A 20,491-nucleotide genomic window follows, 5' to 3' on the forward strand; every position below is an offset into this window, starting at 1 on the left:
TCGTGGTATCTTACATGGCAGGAGAAGGACCAAAAGAGGTGGGGGGAGGTGCCACATACTTTTAAACAACCAGATCTCATGAAGATTCACTATCGCAAGAACAGCACCACGGGGGAAATCTGCCCCCATGATTCAATCACCTCCTACCAGGCCCCACCTCCGAAATTGGGGATTTGACATAAGATCTGGGCAGGGACACAGATCCAAACCATATCAACACCTTAAAGACAGCTCAGGAGGGACACAGGAACAGTGTGGGGTTCTTATCCAAGAGACCATTAGGTTTTCATGCAATAAGCATAGATGATATTTTTGGTATCAAAATTCAGAAGTTTTATGCAAAAGAGCTTCTAAGATGCCCCCTCAAAAACTATTTACTAAAATAATATTATTATTGTTTTCTTCTTAAAGGAGATATAATATATATTTATTGTAGGAAACTTGGCATATCCAGGTAATCACCAGGATACTGATAATAGCATTTTGGTGAATATCCTTCAAGTCTTTCTTCAGTGCATAGATCTGTAATGTCTATGTACACATAAATACACTTTATTTTTTATAAAAATAAAATGAAATTTAAATTCTGTTTTATAAAACAGACTTCCCCTCTGATATGGTTTGGCTGTGTCCCCACCCAAATCTCATCTTGAATTGCAGCTCTCATAATTCCCACATGTCACGGGAGGGACCCAGTGGGATGTAATTCAATTTTGGGGGTGGGTCTTTCCCATGCTTTTCTTGTGATAGTGAATAAATTTCACGAAATATGATGGTTTTATAAAGGGGAGTTCCCCTACATATGCTCTCTTGCCTGCCACCATGTAAGACTTGACTTTGCTCCACATTCGCCTTCCACCATAATTGTGAGGCCTCCCAGCCATGTGGAACTGTGAATCAATTAAATCTCTTTCCTTTATAAATTACCCAGTCTCAGGTATGTCTTTATTAGCAGGGTGAGAACAGACTAATATACCCTCCTTAATAACATATGAATATTTGTCTCTAGATGGTTAAACAAGCTCCAATTAAACAAATAGTTTTTAATTATTTCAGTATTCCATTGCATGGATATACTGTAATTTATTTAATCCTGTTTTTGTCTGTTTTGTGTTGCTATAAGGTAGTACCCAAGGCTGGGTAATTTATTAAAAAAAAAAGTTTACTTGGCTTACAATTCTGCAGGCTGTTCAAGAAGCATGACATTGGCATTTGCTTGGCTTCTGGTGAGGTCCTCAGGCTGCTTCCACTCATGTGGAAGGGGAAGGGGAGCTAGTGTGCAGAGATCCCATGGTGAGAGAGGAAACAAGAGAAGCAGGAGGTGCCAGGCTCTTTTTAACAACCAATTCTTGTGGGAACTGAGTACTCACTCACCCCCCGACCCCCAGGGAGGACATTCATCTATTCATGAGGATCCACCCACAGAACCCAAACATCTCACATTGTGCTCTACCTCCAACACTGGGGATCAAATTTCAGCATCAGCTTTGGGCGACAAACATCCAAATGACAGCAAACCCAATATCTTATTGTTACATGTTCAGACCATTTTCAGTTTTTCTTTTGAGACAGAGTCTTGCTCTGTCACCCAGACTGGAGTGCAGTGGCACCATCTTGGCTCACTGCAGCCTCCACCTCCTGGGTTCAAGTGATTGTCATGCCACAGCCTCCTGAGTAGCTTTTATTACAGGTATGTGCCACCATGCTGGGCTAATTTTTGTATTTTTAGTAGAGACAGGGTTTCACCATTTTGGCCAGGCTGGTCTTGAACTCCTGCCCTCAAGTGATTTGCCTTCCTCAGCCTCCCAAAATGTTGGGATTACAGGCATAAGCCACCATGCCCGGCCCATTTTCAGTGTTTCTTTTTTCTTTTCTTTCTTTTCTTTTCTTTTTTTTTTTGAGACGGAGTTTTGCTCTTGTTGCCCAGGCTGGAGAGCAATTCTGCGATCTCGGCTCACTGCAACCTCCAACGCCCAGGTTCAAGCAATTCTCTTGCCTCAGTCTCCTGAGTAGCTCGGATTACAGGCATGTGCCACCATCCACACTTGGCTAATTTTGTATTTTTAGTAGAGATGGGGTTTCACAATGTTGGTCAGGTTGGTCTCGAACTCGTGACCTTAGGTGATCCACCCGCCTCGGTCTCCCAAATTACTGGGATTACAGGTGTGAACCACCACGCCTGGCCTCATTTTCAGTTTTTCTTAATAAAAAATCCCACTTCTGAGATGAACATTTTTCATTAATCCTTTTAACACATTTTTATTGAATAGCTACTCTGTGCCAGGCATGTAATAGCCTCATCTCTATGCAAATCCATATGCCTAAATTTTTGCATGACTACGCCTTTCGACAAGTGTGTATTGTGGGAAGGAGGGCATAAACAGGAAGGTGGCATCACTTTAAAATCCACACAGATTTATACAATGTGGTTCTAAGACTTTCTGTAAGTCTTCTCGGGAGGCAACATTATCATCTAATCTTTTGCAGTCCCTCTTATGTTTGCCTACCTCTAGAATGAACCTGAATTTATTAATCCACCTTTATGAAGTGAAAGATTGAGAAGAATTTTCTGTGTTCTTAATTGCCTTTGCTCATCAAATTGCCCCCAAATTGCCCCCACTTGTAGAGTCTCCATGGCCTACTGTCTGCTAAAGTAAAGCAGAATCCCAGTCCTCGTTCCAGACCTGCCAAGTCAGAGTCTGTTTTCATGTGATTCTCACACACATTGGCATGTGAGAAGCACTGAGTTAGACCTTGGTGCTTGGCCCACCCTTGACCATGGTCCTCCTCTCTGAACAACGGAGGTGAGGAGACCAGTAGTAACAGCTGTGTCAGGAACAGGTCAGCACCCAGGGATCCACACAGACACTTTTGACCATTCCTAAGTCCTGCCTGCACAGGAAGTTGGCCACTAAAGATAGGCTGCCTGAAGGAAAGGACATAAGGACCTTTGCAAGCTGTTCAGCAGGGAGAAAAAGGGTGGAACAGGAAAGGGAGGAAAGCAAGTTTCTGGATTCCCCAAACCACAGTTTGTCTAGGTGCTACTTTCTCACTTTTCCTTATTTAGCACATAGCTTTGTCATGAGACATCTTTTTGCTGACCTCTTTTCCGTTTGCATTTTGCCCCATATTAGAATGCTACCATCTAAAACCGCTCCATGAATTAGAAAGTTTAAGTTGTCAGGGACTGAATGTGTCTGTTTTCCAACAGTTTCTGGCAGTTCCCTGCTTTTATGGTGTAGTCATGGTGAAACCTGAGTCATCTGAAGATGGTGGCAGTGCCAGAGAGCAGGAGAGAGGAGCTGCAAAGAAGCCAGACAGCGTTGGGCATCAATAACTCCTGGGCACCACCGGCCACTGGCCTTCATTCTGACAGGAGAGCCAACCCAACCCTAACTGTGTTCAGAGATTGCTCCAAGCTTTACAGTTCTACCAAATTCTTTCTGTAGCAAAAATATAAAGGCATCTTCTTAGGTAATTTTTTTTCAGGGTTCCAAGTAGCAACACCTAACGTCTGCAGTGCGAGTTCTCTTCTTCTTTTTTTTTTTAAGGTGATAAATCATAACATTTTCCTGGAAAGGAAAGCAGTAGACCTCATTTTTTGTTTTAAGGAAAAATAGTTTTTCTGTTTCCATTCATATACATTAAATAACTACCCAGGAAATACGCCCCGGTTTTGCGCGCGTGTGCGTGCGTGTGTGTGTGCGTGTGTGTGTGTGCCGTTTCTCTAAAATTCTGACTCATAGTCTGGAGGACAATGATTGACTTTTTTCCACTTCACATAGTTGCTATGAATTTCTCCTCACAAGGATGGGCCTGTTTACTCACCCTGGGCATCGTTGGTAGAGCGCTAGTGTAAACAGCCTGAGGAACCCGGTGGGCCGGGGAAGTGGGCGCGCTCTGTTCTCCGCGGCCAGCTGGGACGCCGGGCCAGGTGGGGCCGCCTGCGTTTAGCAACTGCTTTCTCACCCCCTGGATTTGCGATGTTTGCCACAGCAGCGAGAAGCGCCATTGTAATGGGGATGGGAGGGGTGGAGCCTCCAAGTCCTGTCTCAATTTAGATCTCTCACTCTGCTGTTAGGCGCGCCCATTTCAGATTACTAAACTCGAATTAAGAGGGAAAAAAAATCAGGGAGGAGGTGGCAAGCCACACCCCACGGTGCCCGCGAACTTCCCCGGCAGCGGACTGTAGCCCAGGCAGACGCCGTCGAGATGCAGGGCCCACCGCTCCTGACCGCCGCCCACCTCCTCTGCGTGTGCACCGCCGCGCTGGCCGTGGCTCCCGGGTAGGAACGTGGGCGCGCGGGGGGCGCGCGGGCGCGCGGGCCTGGGCCGCTCTGCGGCTCTGGGCCAGGGCTTCGGGGAGGTGGCGGCTGCTGTGCAGCAGCGGGTGGGAAATGCCCTCGCGGCTGCAGTCCCCAGCCTGGTACTGGCCTGGAGGTTTGACCATATGTAGCTTCAGCGTGGCTCTCCATGGGACAGTTAACTTTCTCCACTCATGAAGTTGTTTAAGCGTCTCCCCGGCCATAACAACTTTCTGAAGAGAGTCATTTTATTTTTAGTCCACATTGCCTCTGCCTTTTGCTTCTCAACTTTTTGCTCCCAGATTGCGATTCTTCTCTCAAAGACATGATATATTTTTTCTAACCAAGATGTCTCAACCTTAGCATTGCCAAAGTGTGGCGGAGGGGACTGATGTATGGGTTCAGGGGCAGACATTATAGGAAGAAAACAACAGCACCCAATAATGGCAAGCCCCATTCATTCCTAAAGATTTCTGTAGTTGAGCCCTAACCCCTAGTTATAGCAGAGAAAGTGCTGCTTTAGTGACTTCTTTTATGATTCGCTATACCTGGAATTTTCACCAGTTGTAGTTTATTTTCAAATGGTATATTTCAATCAATGGTATTGGTTAAATAATTTTTTACCCTCGTTGGGCAGCTACTCAAGGATAAAGGTTTGAATAAGAAACAGGCAAAATCTTAGTTAAAAAATAACAACAACAACAAGAAAATAATCACGCTGGGATAAGGTCCTCTGTAAAGGAGAAGCTTAGAGACTTTTGCTTTGCCAATAACTCCATTATGCCCCGGTGCAAGCCATTTACATCATGGTTCCTTCTGTGCGGTTCGTGGTTTATAAAATGGAAATAATAACACAGGCCTTCCTCTAGTAGTGATGCATGAATTACTGCATTAAAATTGATTTATGGGAATTATTGTTGTTTCAGTAGCATTTCAATTCAGTTGCCAAATAGAGCAGTGGGCAATGTTAACGGAAACAACTGCAATTGGCGCAGTATGGAGTGCCTATCGCACTAGGAAATCTGAGGGTCACAAAAGAAAGGAGATGTGAGGATAAGAAACTTTGTTTTTCCCTTGTTGGGAACTCTTTAGGCCTCGGTTTCTGGTGACAGCCCCAGGGATCATCAGGCCCGGAGGAAATGTGACTATTGGGGTGGAGCTTCTGGAACACTGCCCTTCACAGGTGACTGTGAAGGCGGAGCTGCTCAAGACAGCATCAAACCTCACTGTCTCTGTCCTGGAAGCAGAAGGAGTCTTTGAAAAAGGTAAGATAAACAGCATAAAGTCTTACCCTTCTGCAGTAATAACTGGAATATGTTAATAAGGTCATGTGTTAGGTAGTATAGCAGAGAAACCCCAAATTTGCAGTATCTTACCTAATATACTTTTAATTCTCACTCATGTAAAGTCCTAGATGGTGTTCCTGGATGCTCTTCCAAGTGCAGATTCAGAGACCCAGTTTCCTTCCATTTTGTGGCTCCATTATCATCACTTGGCTCCCAAGACTGCAGGGGAAGATCATGGAGTTTCTTCATGGGAGAAGGGGAAGAGGATGGGAAGAGCATATGGAAGGTTTTTATGGGATAGGCCTAGAAATAGCTTACATCACTACTGCTCATATTCACAGGCAAGGGAGGCTGGGAAGTGTAGGCTAATGTGTGCCCCAGAAGAGGAAATGGGCTAGTCTCTAACACAAAACCATATTTATTGAGTGCAAAGTATTTTACAGAATAGGCCTGTAGGAAGGAAAGGAAAAGCTACACAATAGTTAAAATCCAGTTTTATGGAATATTTCTTAAGTTTTAAAGTAACAAGAGAAAAAAAGAAAATAGTGTGAAAGTGGGAGCCATTTGTAGCAGAACCAAGTTTGGTTCTTGTTTCAAGTTTGGGTTCTGACATGGCCCAAGATTAAATTGGGCCAATGAATGTCTTCTTTTTCAGTGCTAAGGGAAAAATAATTTTGGGAGGAAGAGGTAAATACTTAAATACTTAAAACATTTTTCATTAAAATGAACTTTTATTGCATTTTTTTCTTTTTTTAGATTCTTATAATTATTTTTAGAGACAAGCTCTCACCATGTTGCCCAGGCTGGTCTCGAACTCCTAAGTTCAAGTGATCCACCCACCTTGGCCTCCCAAAGTGCTGGGATTACAGTCCTAAGCTACTGCTCCTGGCCGAGACATACATTTTTATAATGTTAAGAGTTATTTAAAAAAAAAAATTTAAGGCACGTAATGAAGGGTGGTTGGTATTCATTACATAAGTGTTTATTCTCTACAAGCGTAGAGAAATGAACACCATCATGAAATGAAATAAAAGTAAAAGTTTATCTGCATCTGTGGTTCTTTCCCCACTGGAAGTTCACTGGGTAGGTATATTTGGAATAGGAGTCAGGAAGAGATGGTGTGTGTAGGGGCAAGTCACTTTTGTCCCTCATAGAAGCAATGTCAGGGAAGTGGGAGGTCTTATTTCCCTGGAGGGGAAGTATAGGTTAGCCCTTAAGATCTGAGTTTGAATCCTGGTACTACTTTGCTACTAGTTGTATGATCTTAGGTAGGTTACTTAACTGCTTTGAGCCACAGTTTCCTTGTCTATAAAATGGAAATAATGAAACTGATTTCCCAGGGCAGTTATAAAGTTAAAATCTGTATATAGTACCTCTTAGGCATGCAATAAACAACAATTGCTAATATTATTAGTGTAATAATACTGCAGAAGAGGATGCAGAAAGTCCATTTCCTTTTTACATGGGGGCAGACTTCAACTTTCGTTATTGGACTATCATTTCTGAAAATGAATGACCCCTGATCTTATGATAGTCGCTAAAGAAAATATTGAAATATTAAATCACAGGACATAATACTTAAGGTAGTTCCACATTCATTATTTATTCATTAAGAATTTATGAGTGGGAAGAGGGAGGGTATTAAAAAACCACCTATTGGGTACCACACTTATCACCTGGATGATGAAATAACATGTACACTAAAGCCCTATGACAGGCATTTTACCTATATAACAAACCTGCACGTGTATCCCTGAAACTAAAATAAAAGTTAAAAAAAAAAGAATTTATAATATTGGCTCCACTAGTGTGGCAGTTTTCCTGCAATGCAGAGATCCAGAATATATATGGATGTTTTTGATAAATATTTGAGCTTTGCTTGGACATTTACATACTCTAATTCTAGAATTTCACCTGTTAGGTCTTTTCTGTGATCTCTGTTATCAGTCTCTCTTTTTTTTTGCAACAAATAGTACCTACATTGGGGTGCATGTTGTTGTGGCTTGGTTTTCAGCTTTATTCTTAGATCTTCTTTTGGGAGAAGGGTTCCTTGTATGCCCATAGGAAAGTTCAAGTACTCAAGACTGGGGCGGGCAAAGCTGTCCTGGGAGCAGAATGGATCTGTGGGAAGGAAGGAGGGAAAACGCTGCTTCTTTCATGGGCTGTTTTTGACTCTATTGACATAGAGTTTCATTGAAAATGCCATTGCTAGGAGCACTCTCCTGTTTCAAAGGAGAATGTTACTGTATTATCAGAGGCTGGGAGTTATTGTTCTCAGAGCAGATGCTTCCTGTAATGTGAGGACTTGAGGATCAAGACACTTCTCCCTGCTTGTCTTCACATCCTTTGCTTTATCTGGCTTCTCCAGTTGTAACAATATGTAGATAAACCAGGACTTCTAAATCAGGGGTCTGGATCTTCAAGTATCTGGATGTGGATTCATGTTTTGTTTTTTCTCCATCACATAAACACCAAACACCAACAAATAAATACCTTTTATTTTTAAGGGACAGAGTCTCACTCTGTTGCCCAGGCCAGAGTGCAGTGGTGAAATCATAGCTCACTGCAACTTGGAATTCTTGGGCTCAAGTGATCCTGCTGTCTCAGCCTCCTGAATCAGCTGGGACTACAGGCAAGTGCCAGCATGCTAGGTTTAAAATTTTTTTTTTTTTTGTAGAGATGGGGTCTTGCTATGTTGCCCAGACTGGTCTTGAACTCCTGGGCTCAAGCGATCTTCCTGCCTCAGCCTCCCGAAGTGCTGGGATTATGGGTATGAGCCTGATTGTTTCATTTTCCTATGAGCCACCCCCAGCCCCCCAACAGAAGGTTGGTTTTAATAAAGATTTATCTTCTAGTAAAGTTGGGTAAGGCAGTAGACTGTGTCTTAGTAGCTTATTTCCAGCAGTTTTGGATTTCTTAGAAATCCTCAGGATAGGGAGGTGTTTTACCCAAACCACAATAGATTTCTGGCTCAATTTGTGTTGGAAATAGTAATAACTAAATTGTTCAAATGGAGAATGTATTTAATAAAGGTGAAAAAGTATGGCATTTCTTCAGGGAAGAGTTCATTTGTTTGTTTGACAGATATGGGGGAGATTTTATTTACATTTCCACTTTTATGGCCAGGAGTGTAGGTTATATTACTGTTATTCATTTAAAAATACATTAATTCTACATTTATTGGGGATTGATTGTAGTTTTTTTTTTTTTTTTTTTTTTTTTTTTTGAGACACAGTCTCACTCTGTCACCCAGGCTGGAGTGCAGTGGTGCGATCTCGGCTCACTGCAACCTCTGCCTCCCTGGTTCAAGCGATTCTCCTGCCTCAGCCTTCCGAGTAACTGGGACTACAGGCATGTGCCACCATGCCTGGCTAATTTTTTGTATTTTTAGTAGAGACGAGGTTTCACTGTGTTAGCCAGGTTGGTCTTGAACTCCTGACCTCGTGACCTGCCTGCCTCGGCCTCCCAAAGTGCTAGGATTATAGGCGTGAGCCACCGTGCCCAGCGATTATGGGCTTTTTTTTTTTTTTTGGTGAATAATAGACCTTTAGAAAAAGTATTTCTGCTACACTTTGCAGAGTTCTGGGAAGGTGTATCAATGCCTTTCTAGTAGTGAGATTCAAAAGATTGCTTGTCACTGTTACCACTGTCACTGCCTCTACCACTATCAGCATCATTGCCATCAGCTCCATAGTGATTAGAACTATGTTCCTAATCTTATCTTCCTTTGCATAAAGAGTTAGTTAAATAAACATAACTGGCAAAACGTAGTAAAAGTTCAGCAGGTAATAATTACCAGAGGAAAGAAGATGGCACAGCTATTGGCATTTAAAATCAAGTCAGATTACTGTTTTGGGTGGAGAGTGAGTCTGTCCCTTTGTCTCTTCCCATATTTTTTTTCTCTTTCCTTACTGTGAAAGGAGTTCCTTGCCAAATCAAGAAAAAAGAAATTAAGAACATTTTGAGAACTGTCCTCTCATCTGTTAAGGCATATAAAATAATTTAATTTTCGTGATGTCCTTGAAACCATAATTTCTGTTTTATTTTCCCTTCTCTTGCTACAATTTGACATTTTCATTTGTAAACTTTCAGTAGTTTTCCTGAACAAGAGTCACTTCAAGTAATAAAGAATATAACCTTTCTCCCTCATTAATGAATTCATCATCATTAGTTTCATGTAAACCTGATTTAAGAAAAAATGCTAGAGGCTGAGTGCAGTGGCTCACAACCGTAATCCCAGAGCTTGGGAGGCTGAGGTGGGAGGATTGCTTGAGCCCAGGAGTTTGAGACCAGCCTGGACAACACAGTGAAATTCTATCTCAAAAACAAAAACAAAAGAACCCTTAAAACCAAAAACTCCCAAAAACCTAAACTGAAAATGCCTACTGAAATTTTGGGAACTCTGCATGGGCGTCTCCAGGTGAGTGCCTGCTGGTTTGGGGGCACCATTTTTTAAATGCTGCCAATCCTACTTCCATCTTCCCATTGAGTTACTGGGGTGGAATGTGCTCTATAAATGTGTCTGTAACTCGCTTTTTCTTTTTGCCCTAAAATCCTGGAGAGTTAATGGAGTGTTAACCTTTTTTTAAAGATTTTTTAAAAAATCTATTTTTTCCTTTGTTGTCTTTCTCACATTGACTATGATATATTTTATTTTCCATCTTGGCTCAGTAAGGGTGGGAAATTTTTAAAAATTGAGATATTAGCTGAAAAACTTAAAAAATCATCCAATTTGGTTTGGATGGTTTTCTGGTGGAAACAAAGCTCCTGAACATGCATTTCATGCCTCGTAGATAAAAATCAGTCCCATGGTCTTTATGAAAGTAGATTAATTAGTGTAGTGTGTGGGCAGATCTCCCAGAGCAGGTTTTCACAGGCAGCTTTGCCAACATAACTCAGTCTGAACCTGCAGTTATGTTAGAATTATTTTTAAAGGGTGTAGGCTTTTCATTCACACATCGTCTTTGTTCTTGTGTGTGATGTATATTAACAGGTAGGTGGTACCTGAGAATAAAGGACCACAGCATAATCACGATGTGCCTGGGCTCTGGAGCCTGGCTACCTGGGCACAGGTGCTGGCCATTCCACTTAGTGGTTGTGTGGCTGTGGGCAGTCATGATCTCACTAGGCTTCAGTTTCATCATCTGAAAAATAGTGGTTTCTGCCTTATACAATTATATGGATATTGTGAGGATTAAATGAGGTAACATATTCAAGGCACTTAACACAAAGGAATTATTCAAGAAAATGGTAGCTATTGTTACTAGAAGAGAGTAGCAACAGTTTATGTCAAAGGCAATTATTAATCACCTATTGTGACAATCTTGAACCGGGAACTCTATAAAAGACACATCCCTAGGAGGGGATTGGAAGGGATTTAACATATTAAATATCCAGTTTCCTCATAGTGCCAAGGACTTTATGCACTATATTTAATTTTAACAACTTGATGAAGTAGATACTCTTGTCTTCATTTTGGAGGTGAGGAAATTGAGGCAAAGAGAGAAGAATTAGTTTTTCTGAGTTAACCCAGTTAGTAAATGGTGAAGCCTGAATTTGAAGTTAGTTGTATCTGAGGTCCAGAGACCATAAGGTTTTCTATTGCTGGGAAGAGAGTGAAGTATTTTTATTTCCTTGATTTTGGGATATTGATGCAATGTTGCAGTTGTCTTCCACTAAAATCATTTTCACATTTGCTTGCAGTAGATAGACCTGGATCTAATGAAATCTAATTTGAATCGAAAGAATTACAAAATGAAATGCCAGCTCTCCTCTTAATTTACTTTCAGCCTCATAGAGTTTTGGAGCTGGAGGGGACCTCAAAGATAAGCAAATTCAATAGCCTAATATATGGCTGGGAGACTGAGGTGAGGCATGGGATCTGGGGATTTTCCCAAGGTCAAATCACTTATTGGTGGCAGAGCTGGAAACAGATTGCAGTTTCCCAAATTTGCAGTCCAGTGCTATTTCCAGTATACTCTACGAAAGTTTCCTAACATATGGAGAGCTGAGCTTAAGACCTAAGATATATTTACAAATGCTGATTCTTCTGATATGGAAGAAAATAAGGCTAACTAAGGAGTTTAAAAATGCTTACTTGCATACTGTGAAAGTTTCTTATTTTAGCTCAAGGTGGAGTTGCTCTTTATGCACTATTTGTTCTGTATAAGGGGTGGGGGCTGGGTTAGAAGCTTCATAGACCTTTTAAAAACTAAATTCTGTTGCTTTGTTTCTCAGAGTCCAAATTGTATTTATTAAAAAGGCTGATTCATGGCCTCCCTCAAGACATGGGTAAGAATCAAGAATCTCAGCTGGGTGTGGTGGCTCACGCCTATAATCCCAGCACTTTGGGAAGCCAAGGTAGGTGGATCACTTGAGGCCAGAAGTTCGAGACCAGCCTGGCCAACATGGTGAAACCCCGTCTCTACCAAAAACACAAAAATTAGCCAGGTGTGGTGGTGGGCGCCTATAGTCCCAGTTACTTGGGAGGCTGAGGCAGGAGAATCGCTTGAACCCAGGAGGCAGAGGCTGCAGTGAGATTGTACCAGTGCACTCCAGCCTGGGTGACAGAGCAAGACTCCATCTCAAAAAAAAAAAAAAAAAGAGAATCTAACCTTTATGTTCCACCATGACCACAGGTGATTCTTAGTCACATTAGAATGAGAACAACTGCCCTTTGGTATCTCACAAATTGTACTCGACCAAATACTGGAAAGCTCGAGGGTGAGTAGCATGCCCCTGCAAGCCTGTGATGATTCATGGCGGCGGAGGGAAGGCTCCTCGTGGACTTTCATGTTTGCTTTTAAGCAACCCTCAACCCTAAGCGCTGGTGTTCATTTTCAGCCGCAGAGAAACATGACTTGGGGTTTGATTGTGAATCAACGATTGGGTGAAGTTAAAAGTGAACACACTGATTCTTTAAACTCCAAGTTAAACATGTGCTGCTCCTCTTCTAGCACTGGATGAGTCACTGTCCTAGTGACTCACTGAAGGATTGTGGTGGAAATAGAAAACAGATCCCATAAGAATTTGGGCTGGGTTACTGTTGATCCTTTATGTCCTGTGAAGAGGGCTTTATAATGCTGAAACTAGTTGTTTCCCCACAGACATTTCTTCTCATTAATGTATTATTTATTGATTATTTGCTGTATGTGAAACATGAATGAATGGGGAGTGGGGAATAAGAGAAAGGAAGGCACTGGAGGACATTCAGAGGTCCCAGAAGGATAATATAATATTAAAAGTGCAGAAGGCTAGAGGAGTTTTTATTTTTTGTATAAAAAATACAATGCGGTTTGTAAATAGTGCTTCTTGTATGTGAGCCTGTGCCTGGTACTATTATCTTTTACTTCCAGAGCTATACAGATGTCCATTCATAAATGTCCCACCTCTGCTGACATATTTGGCCTTTGGAGGGAACAGTTACTTCACGTACTAGAGACGGGAAGGGTGTGCCGGAGGAAAGAGCTGCTGGCTGGTGTGGCAGTTATGAAAAGGAGATAGGGGTTTGTGTATATATTTTCTAAAAAGATGTTTCATTCTGCTTTGGATATGAGTTTGGGGAGACATCCAGGTGGAGATGTCCAGCAGATAGTTTTGAAATTGCAGCTGGGGAGAGAGATTTAGGCATTATTTTCATAGAGGCAGACAATATTTTGAAGTCCTGGAAATACATAAGATGCACAAGAGAGACAGAGCTCATGGAAAGAACAAGTCTTTTGAGAGAAGCTTGGAAAGAGGAAAATAAGTTAATGAAGGGAAAAAGACCAGACACAGTGGCTCATGCCTGTAATCCCAGCAACTTGGGAGGCTGAGGTGAGCAGATCGCTTGAGCTCAAGAGTTTGAAATCAGCCTGGACAACATATTGGAACCTCATCTCTACTAAAAATAAAAAAAAGGTAGCTGGACGTGGTGACATGTGCTTGTAGTCCCAGCTACTCAGGAGGCTCAGGCAGGAGGATTTCTTGAGCTACAGTTATAGTGCCGTTGTACTCTAGCCTGGGTAACAAAGCATGGCCCTGTCTCAAGAAAAAGAAAAGAAAAGAAAAGAAAAGAAAAGAATAGAATAGACAACGAGCAATCAGAGAAGGGTAAATTGAAAATGTCTCAGAAGCCAAGGGAAGAAGAAGTTCCAAGAAGGAAGGTTTAATAGTTAATAATCAATTCTCTCAGGTCAGAGAAGAGGAGGACAGAGGAAAGAACATTGGTGACGCTTAAGTAAATGGCTTTAAGTTGAATGTTGGAAGCAAAAGCAAATTTGAGGGAATAAATGGATGGTGAAAAATATAATCAAAATTTATTCTTTCCAGAAGTTTGGTAGTTGAAAGGAGAGAGGTGGACGGTCTCTCAAAAGGCACATTAGAAAGGTGAAAGTGGTTAAGGCAAAGGAGAGGGTGGATAATTCCTGGGTTAGAAGTGGTGAGATCAGTATTGGGGCAGAGGCAAGTGGATTATCCTTAAAAAACCCTCATACTTTCTTCTTTGAAGAAAGAAAGAAATAGAAGAGAATCATTAAGGAAAGAAATATTTTGAGGTATGAAATTGAGATGAAGAATAAAATTGAAATACAGTTTTAGGAAAACTTATTTACCGACTTGTAAATTGCACAGATCTGGCCACCACTTTATAGGAAATGGGGGTAAAAGTTAAAAGTAGTGGCAGACCAGAATGAGAAACACAGGACTGGAGATCTTCCCTGGTGGTGCCCTAAACTGGGTCACCGCTGGATTGTAGGAAATTAGAATACAGGGGCAGGAAGTCATATTTGTATCTGGGAGAGCTAACACAGGGAGGAGAGAGAAGAGGAAAGGGCTGTTTACGATGAAGATATGCCTCAGTTGAAGCTCGAGAGGACTGGGTGGAGTTACTTTATTACTGCCATGGTTGTCAGTGAATTTGTAATTCACTCTTAGTGTGGGCCAAGATGACCAAGGTGCAATGATAAAACTTGTCTAGGAGGATTAAAGTGGATCTTGGTCTTGCTCTATCTCTTTCACTCTTCACTTACCTCGGAGAATTCTATGAGGAGACTTTCTTCCGTTGCAAGGCTCAGGGTGAAATTGGTCAAAGATTTGGTGGAGGGGGTAGCAGTAGGTAGGTAGATGACAGGTCTATAGGTTGTTAGTTCTGAAGAAACGATTCATAAATTAAAATCCGAAAACCAGACTGGTAAAGAGCTTGGAAATAAATGAAGAGGAAAATTTTTAAAGAACACCTAGTAGCTCCCTTTTGGCAGGGCTGTGTTAGGAATTTACATTTATGAAAATATAGCTGGCAGAAATGATTTAGTATTACAAACTTAAGTTTCACTGCAATATATGTTAAAGCTCCTCAGGAATATAGATAAGACAGGGAATTTATTATTCTGAGCAATTCAAATTTATTCAGCACCAAATTGCCTATGGCACAATGCTGGGTGACATAAATATTTGGTGACCACATGAGGTTCCTGTGCCTGTGCTCTTCGCAGGGAAGCAGAGTAGGCTTCATTTGATGTGTCCTCCCACGTTGATTATAGAGGCTTGTTCGGGTGCCGTGTTGACAGTTTCAAAGTCAAGCGTGGGTTTACTGGACTAGAGAACTGGATGAATTAGCTGTGTCTGCCATGGCCATGGGAGTTGGGGAGTGTGGTATGAATGCTGCGAAGGATTCTGTAGCCCATCCATAAACTTTATTTATGGATCAGTTGAAGAGGAATGGTCTAAGAGGAACGGTTATCTACGTAGCTACATAGGGGCTTGAGGTAGTAACAACATGGATAAGAGAGAACAGACGAAAGAGTGGGTGTATCCAAATAGTAAATGAGAGTGGAGTAAGCTACAGAGGAGGAACAAGGAGGGAAGGGATATGAGGTTATGTTTGCACTACTGTTTTGGAAGGAATAGCTGGGTCTGTCCTGCACTGTTTGGGAGGCACAGTGGGTTAGAATGGGTGCTCAGGAACCACACTGAAATTGAACCCTAGCATCACCTAATAGTAGTACCCACCTCGTAGCATTGTTGAGAGGATTAAATGAGATAATACTTAAGAGCTGTATCATCCAATATGGTAGCTACTAACCACATGTGGTTTTTGAGCACTTGAAATGTGGCTCATACAAATTGAGATGTGCCAGGAGTATAAAATACATAATGGATTTTGAATACTTAGTTCCAAGAAATGCAATAAAACTTATGATTTTAAAATAATGATTTCATGTTCAATGTTAATATTTTGGACATATTGAGTTAAATAAAATATGTTATTAAAAGTAATGTCACCCAATTTTTTCTTTTTTTGGCACATAAAAGACACCTAATTTAATAAATATTAGTTATTATTTTCTCTTTTATTATGCAGTTAAGAACTTTGATTTAAAATTGTTATCTTTATATATATATATATATATATATATATATATATATATATATATATATTTATTATACTTTATGTCCTAGGGTACATGTGCACAACATGCAGGTTTGTTACATATGTATACATGTGCCATGTTGGTGTGCTGCACCCATTAACGCGTCACTTACATTAGGTGTATCTCCTAATACTATCCCTTCCCCCTTCCCCCATCCCACGACAGGCCCCGGTGTGTGATGTTCCCCGTCCTGTGTCCAAGTGTTCTCATTGTTCAATTCCCACCTATGAGTGAGAACATGCGGTGTTTGGTTTTTTGTCCTTGCGATAGTTTGCTGAGAATGATGGTTTCCAGCTTCATCCATGTCCCTACAAAGGACATGAACTCATCATTTTTTATGGCTGCATTGTATTCCATGGTGTATATGTGCCACAATTTCTTAATCCAGTCTGTTGTTGTTGGACATTTGGGTTGGTTCCAAGTCTTTGCTATTGTGAATAATGCCTCAATAAACATACGTGTGCATGTGTCTTTATAGCAGCATGATTTATAGTCCTTTGGGTATATACCCAGTAATGGGATGGCTGGGTCAAATGGTATTTCTAGTTATAGATCCCTGAGGAATCACCACCCTGTCTTCCACAATGGTTGAACTAGTTTACAGTCCCACCAACAGTGTAAAAGTGTTCCTATTTCTCCACATCCTCTCCAGTACCTGTTGTTTCCTGACTTTTTAATGATCGCCATTCTAACTGGTGTGAGATGGTATCTCATTGTGGTTTTGATTTGCATTTCTCTGATGGCCAGTGATGATGAGCATTTTTCCATGTGTTTTTTGGCTGCACAAATGTCTTCTTTTGAGAAGTGTGTGTTCATATCCTTTGCCCACTTGTTGATGGGGTTGTTTGTTTTTTTTCTTGTAAATTTGTTTGACTTCTTTGTAGATTCTGGATATTAGCCCTTTGTCAGATGAGTAGGTTGCAAAAATGTTCTCCCATTCTGTAGGCTGCCTGTTCACTCTGATGGTAGTTTCTTTTGCTGTGCAGAAGCTCTTTAGTTTAATTAGATCCCATTTGTCAATTTTGGCTTTTGTTGCTATTGCTTTTGGTGTTTTAGACATGAAGTCCTTCCCCATGCCTGTGTCCTGAATGGTATTGCCTAGGTTTTCTTCTAGGGTTTTTATGGTTTTAGGTCTAACATTTAAGTCTTTAATCCATCTTGAATTAATTTTTGTATAAGGTGTAAGGAAGGGATCCAGTTTCAGCTTTCTACATATGGCTAGCCAGTTTTCCCAGCACCATTTATTAAATAGGGAATCCTTTCCCCATTTCTTGTTTGTGTCAGGTTTGTCAAAGATCAGATAGTTGTAGATGTGTGGCATTATTTCTGAGGGCTCTATTGTGTTCCATTGGTCTATATCTCTGTTTTGGTACCAGTACCATGCTGTTTTGGTTACTGTAGCCTCGTAGTATAGTTTGAAGTCAGGTAGCATGATGCCTCCAGCTTTGTTCTTTTGGCTTAGGATTGACTTGGCAATGTGAGTTGTTTTTTGGTTCCGTATGAACTTTAAAGTAGTTTTTTCCAGTTCTGTGAAGAAAGTCATTGGTAGCTTGATGGGGATGGCATTGAATCTATAAATTACCTTGGGCAGTATGGCCATTTTCCTGATACCAAAGCCTGGCAGAGACACAACAAAAAAAGAGAATTTTAGGCCAATATCCCTGATGAACATCGATGCAAAAATCTTCAATAAAATACCGGCAAACCAAATCCAGCAGCACATCAAAAAGCTTATCCACCATGATCAAGTGGGCTTCATCCCTGGGATGCAAGGCTGGTTCAACATATGAAAATCAATAAACGTAATCCAGCATATAAACAGAACCAAAGACAAAAACCACATGATTATCTCAACAGATGCAGAAAAGGCCTTTGACAAAATTCAACAGCGCTTCATGCTAAAAACTCTCAATAAATTAGGTATTGATGGGACATATCTAAAAATAATAAGAGCTATTCATGACAAACCCACAGCCAATATCATACTGAATGGGCAAAAACTGGAAGCATTCCCTTTGAAAACTGGCACAAGACAGGGATGTCCTCTCTCACCACTCCTATTCAACATAGTGTTGGAGGTTCTGGCTAGGGCAATCAGGCAGGAGAAAGAAATAAAAGGTATTCAATTAGGAAAAGAGGAAGTCAAATTGTCCCTGTTTGTAGATGACATGATTGTATATCTAGAAAACCCCATTGTCTCAGCCCAAAATCTCCTTAAGCTGATAAGCAACTTCAGCAAAGTCTCAGGATACAAAATCAATGTGCAAAAATCACCAGCATTCTTATACACCAATAACAGACAAACAGAGAGCCAAATCATGAGTGAACTCCCATTCACAATTGCTTCAAAGAGAATAAAATACCTAGGAATCCAACTTACAAGGGATGTGAAGGACCTCTTCAAGGAGAACTACAAACCACTGCTCAACGAAATAAAGGAGGACACAAACAAATGGAAGAACATTCCATGCTCATGGGTAGGAAGAATCAATATCTTGAAAATGGCCATACTGCCCAATTTTTTCTATTTTTTTTTTAGTGCACATCTTTAAAACATTTATCACAATGCTTGGTACATAGAAGACACCGAGGGAATGTTAACTATGTTGTACCTGGTGTTTCTCAGTATCAGATATTAATACTGATGCCTGACCACAAGCCTGTGGCATGAGTCCAAGTCTCCCTGCTGATGACTCATTTTGGCTTAGGTAGATCTTCACCCTTATCCCTTATCCCTTGAGGAAGAAGAAAATCTCCCTAAAGAGAGCCACAGGGGTCGGCAAAATTTCTGTAAAGGGCCAGATGTTAAGCATGTAGGTTTTGCCAACCTTCAGGTCTTTATTACAGCTGCTCAACTCTGCCTTTATAGCTCGGAAGCAGCTGTAGACGGTTCATAAACAAAAGAGCATGGTTGTGTACCAGCAGAACTTTATTTATGGATGCTGAAATTTTGAGTTCATATAATTTTTACTTATCATGAAATATTCTTCTTCTTTTGATATTCCCCCCAGCTATTTAGAAATGCAAACCCATTCTTAGTTCATGAACTGTACAAAAAACAGGCGTGGGCCAGACTGGATCTGTAGGCTGTGGATTGCTGACCCTGCCATTAAAAATGCCCTGTACATTTAGCAGCCAAGAACCTTGCTTGACTCTGGGTTTTTCATTTGTACTTAACCTAACATTTGCTTTATAGTGTACCATTTTATTTATTTTACTTTTAGTAGGTTTGTGTTTGACCTGCTTTTTTTTTTACTCAATGTTTGTGTTTAACCTGCTTTTTTTTAGACAATGGAACAAAACTTTGTTTATGAAACTCAAATTTATTAAGATATTTGTAAGCAAAGGGAAATAAGAGAGAAAAATATAAAAGGAGTATGTAAGGGACCAAAGGAGATTTTTTGTTTGGTTTTGTTCTGCTCAGAATACTTGTGTTTTCTGTGTAGACTGAATTTACCCAATAGTTTTTTTGCCTTAAAGTGACATTAAACTGTGAAGCAGAAACATTGTATTTTTAAAATCGTACTTTAAGTTTTTTTTTTTTTTTTTGAGACGGAGTCTCGCTCTGTCGCCCAGGCTGGAGTGCAGTGGCGGGATCTCGGCTCACTGCAAGCTCCGCCTCCCGGGTTCACGCCATTCTCCTGCCTCAGCCTCCCAAGTAGCTGGGACTACAGGCGCCCGCCACTACGCCCGGCTAATTTTTTTTTTGTATTTTTAGTAGAGACGGGGTTTCACCGTTTTAGCCGGGATGGTCTCGATCTCTTGACCTCGTGATCCGCCCGCCTCGGCCTCCCAAAGTGCTGGGATTACAGGCGTGAGCCACCGCGCCCGGCCTAAGTTTTTAAAATATTTTATTTTTATAGATTTAGGGGGTACATGTGCAGTTTTCTTACATGGATATTTTGGGTAGTGGTGGAGTCTGGGCTTTTAGTATAAACATCAGCCAAATAGTGTATGTTGTATCCATTAAGTCATTTCTTATCCCTTACCTCCCTGCCATATGAATCTCCAATGTCTATTATTTCACTCTCTAAAAAATATTGTATTTTATACAAAAATTAGCCGGGTATGGTGGCGCATGCCTCTAATCCCAGCTACTGGGGGGCTGAGGCAGGAGGATTGCTTGAACCTGGAAAGCGGAGGTTGTAGTGAGCCGAGATCATGCCACTGCACTCCAGCCTGGGCAACGAAGCGAGACTCCGTCTCAAAAAAAAAAAAATTGTATTTTAAAGTTTTGTTTTCCATGAATTTGTGGGGGGAAAACCCTTATTTCTTACCTTATCTGTTGATCAAAGAAACTGCTGAAGAATGAGGAAAAAAATTTAGTAACTTGATAAAGAGATCAAAATTTTCAGCTAAAAAAGTGATAATAAATTTATTATTGCATAAGACTGAGTAGCAAAAGGCTGCCAAAAATAATTAAGCAGCAAACACTAAGTCAGGCATATATATATATCTAGTGGAAAATCCACTTTTTTTTTCATAGAGAGTA

General features: G+C 40.9%; 1 protein-coding gene and 1 long non-coding RNA gene across 7 annotated transcripts in view, besides 3 other annotated features; one reads left to right on the plus strand and one right to left on the minus strand.

Annotated features, from left to right (window-relative positions):
- Positions 1-20,491, plus strand: part of CD109 (CD109 molecule) — a 149,122-nt gene that overhangs the window by 12,812 nt on the left and 115,819 nt on the right. For 3 of the 6 annotated variants that reach the window (NM_133493.5, NM_001159587.3, NM_001159588.3), the window contains exons 1-2: positions 4,200-4,286; positions 5,397-5,569. The exons of 1 other annotated variant lie outside the window; for it this stretch is intronic. In NM_133493.5, coding sequence (NP_598000.2) covers positions 4,213-4,286; positions 5,397-5,569 — 247 coding nt within the window. In that variant the 5' untranslated portion in view covers positions 4,200-4,212. Of the gene's footprint in view, positions 1-4,199; positions 4,287-5,396; positions 5,570-20,491 lie in introns of those variants that run through there. 2 more of the 6 variants (XM_047418211.1, XM_047418215.1) reach the window with 2 other exon arrangements.
- Positions 1,900-4,128, minus strand: CD109-AS1 (CD109 antisense RNA 1). Its single transcript, NR_110889.1, has 2 exons — positions 3,829-4,128; positions 1,900-3,572 (listed from the first exon to the last, which is right to left on the minus strand). It is a non-coding gene; the product is annotated as a CD109 antisense RNA 1 (long non-coding RNA).
- Positions 3,830-4,089: an enhancer, noted in NCBI's record as "active region_24755". NCBI's record gives its function as "activates an Ori minimal core promoter by ATAC-STARR-seq in GM12878 lymphoblastoid cells {active_cell/tissue: GM12878}" and the evidence as "EXISTENCE:reporter gene assay evidence [ECO:0000049][PMID:35858748]".
- Positions 4,043-4,757: an enhancer, noted in NCBI's record as "H3K27ac-H3K4me1 hESC enhancer chr6:74405769-74406483 (GRCh37/hg19 assembly coordinates)". NCBI's record gives its function as "activates a minimal SCP1, AML or CMV promoter by ChIP-STARR-seq in primed H9 embryonic stem cells {active_cell/tissue: H9 hESC(primed)}" and the evidence as "EXISTENCE:reporter gene assay evidence [ECO:0000049][PMID:30033119]".
- Positions 4,320-4,369: a silencer, noted in NCBI's record as "silent region_17339". NCBI's record gives its function as "represses an Ori minimal core promoter by ATAC-STARR-seq in GM12878 lymphoblastoid cells {active_cell/tissue: GM12878}" and the evidence as "EXISTENCE:reporter gene assay evidence [ECO:0000049][PMID:35858748]".

Source organism: Homo sapiens, chromosome 6 (genome assembly GCF_000001405.40).
Source record: "Homo sapiens chromosome 6, GRCh38.p14 Primary Assembly".
NCBI classification, from domain to species: Eukaryota; Metazoa; Chordata; class Mammalia; order Primates; family Hominidae; genus Homo; species Homo sapiens.